Source organism: Homo sapiens, chromosome 9 (assembly GCF_000001405.40).
Source record: "Homo sapiens chromosome 9, GRCh38.p14 Primary Assembly".
NCBI lineage: Eukaryota > Metazoa > Chordata > Mammalia > Primates > Hominidae > Homo > Homo sapiens.
The window spans coordinates 40,855,037-40,857,663 of NC_000009.12; the positions used below are offsets into that span (position 1 = coordinate 40,855,037).

The window sequence follows — 2,627 nt, forward strand, 5'->3', positions numbered from 1 at the left end:
CAGTTTTGAAACACTCTTTTTGCAGAATCTACAGTGGTCCTTTGGAGCACTTTGAGGCCTTCGTTCGAAACAGGAATATCTTCATTTAAAAACTAGACAGAATTATTATCAGCAACATCTTTGTGATTTCTGCATTCAACTCAGAGAATTGAACTCTTCTTTTGATAGAGCAGTTTTGAAACACTCTCTTTGTAGAATCTGCAAGTGGACTTTTGGTGTGCTTTGAGGCTTGTGGTGAAAACGGAAATATGTTAACATGAAAACTAGACAGACGCATTCTCCGAAACTTATTTGTGATGTGTGCACTCAGCTCACATAGTTGAACCTTTCTTTTGAGAGAGAAATTTTGAAACCCTCTTTTTGTGGAATCTGCAAGCGCACATTTGGAACGCTTTGTGGCCTACGTTGGAAACGGGAATATCTTCACATAAAAACTAGACAGAAGCATTCTCAGAAACTTCTTTGTGATGTTGACATTCAACTCACAGAGTTGAACATTCCCTTTCATAGAGCAGTTTTGAAACACTCTTTTTGTAGAATCTGGAAGTGGACGTTTGGAGCGCTTTGAGGCCAATGGTGAAAAGAAATATCTTCACATAAAAACTAGACAGAAGCATTCTCAGAAACTTCTTTGTGATATGTGTACTCAACTCACAGATTTAAATCTTTCCTTTGATAGAGCAGTTTTGAAACACTCTTCTTGTAGAATTTGCAAGTGGATATTAGGATAGCTTTGAGGCTTTCCTTGGAAATGGGAATATCTTCATATAAAAACCAGACAGAAACATTCTCAGAAACTTCTTTGTGATGTTTGCATTCAACTCACAGAGTTGAACATTCCTTTTTATAGAGCAGTTTTGAAACACTCTTTCTGGAATCTGCAAGTGGACATTTGGAGCGCTTGGTGGCCTATGGTGAAAAAGGAAATATCTTCACATAAAAACGAGACAAAAGCATTCTCAGAAACTTCTTTGTGAAGTGTGTACTCAACTCACAGAGTTGAACCTTTCTTTTGCTGCAGCAGTTTTGAATCACTCCTTTTGAAGCATTTCCAAGTGGATACTTGGACAGCTTTGAGGCTTTCATTGGAAACGGGAGTATCTTCACATAAAAACTAGACAGAAGAATTCTCAGAAACTTCTTTGTAAAGTGTGCATTCAACTCACGGTGTTGACACTTTCTTTTAATAGAGCAGATTGGAAACACTCTTTTTGTAGTATTTGCAATTGGATATTTGGACAGCTTTGACGCTTTCTTTGGAAACGGGACTATCTTCACATAAAAACTAGACAGAAGCATTCTCAGAAACTTCTTTGTGATGTGTGCACTCAACTCACAGACTTGAACCTTTCTTTTGATAGAGCAGTTTTGAAACACTCTTTTTGTAGTATCTGGAAGGGGACATTTGGAGCGCTTTGAGGCCTAAGGTGAAAAAGGAAATATCGTCACATAAACATTAGACAGAATCATTATCAGAAACATCTTTCTGATGTGTGCATCCAACTCACAGAGTTGAACCCTTCTTTTGATAGAGCAGTTTTGAAACACTCTCTTTGTAGATCTGCAAGTGGACATTTGGTGTGCTTTGAGGTCTACGGTGAAAAAGAAATATCTTAACAAAAAAACTAGACAGAAGCATTCTCAGTAACTTTTTGTGATGCTTACATTCAACTCACAGAATTGAACATTCCTCTTCATAGAGCAGTTTTGAAACACTCTTTTGTAGTATCTGGAAGTGGATATTTGGGGGGCTTTGAGGCCTATGGCGAAAAAGGAAATACCTTCACATGAAAACTAGACAGAAGCATCCTCGGAAACTTCTTTGTGATGTGTGTAGTGAAGTCAGAGAGATGAACCTTTCTTTTTATAGAGCAGTTTTGAAACACTCTCTTTGTAGAATCTGCAAGTGGACATTTGTTGTGCTATGAGACCTACAGTGAAAAAGGAAATGTCTTCATATGAAAACTAGACAGAAGCATTCTCAGAAACTTCTTTGAGATGTGTGCAGTCAACTCACAGAGTTAAACCTTTCTTTTGATAGAGCAGATTGGAAACACTCTTTTTGTAGTATTTACAAGTGGGTATTTGGACAAATTTGAGGCCTTCACAGGAAACGGGAATATCTTCACATAAAAACAAGACAGAAGCATTCTAAGAAACTTCTTCGTGATGTGTGTCCTCAACTCACAGAGTGGAACATTTCTTTTGATAGGGAAATTTTGAAACACTCTTTGTACGATCTGCAAGTTGATATTTGGAGAGATTTGAGGCTCTCATTGGTAACGGGAATATTTTCACATAAAAACAAGTCAGAAGCTGTCTCAGAAACTTCTTTGTGATGTTTGCATTCAACTCACAGAGTTGAACATTCCTTTTCATAGAGCAGTTTTGAAACACTCTTTTTGTAGAATGTGCAAGTGGTCATTTGGAGCGCTTTGAGGCCTTCGTTCAAAAAGGGAATATCTTCACAGAAAAGCTAGACAGAATCATTATCAGAATCATCTTTGTGATGTGTGCCTTCAACTCACAGAGTTGAGCCGCTCCTTTGATACAGCAGTTTTGAAACACTGTCTTTGTAGAATCTGCAAGTGGACATTTGGTGTGCTTTGAGGCCTATGGTGAAAAAG

The 2,627-nt window shown here is 37.8% G+C and overlaps 1 annotated feature.

The window, feature by feature from the left end:
- Window positions 1,092-1,655: an enhancer, noted in NCBI's record as "OCT4-NANOG hESC enhancer chr9:66809156-66809719 (GRCh37/hg19 assembly coordinates)". NCBI's record gives its function as "activates a minimal SCP1, AML or CMV promoter by ChIP-STARR-seq in primed H9 embryonic stem cells {active_cell/tissue: H9 hESC(primed)}" and the evidence as "EXISTENCE:reporter gene assay evidence [ECO:0000049][PMID:30033119]".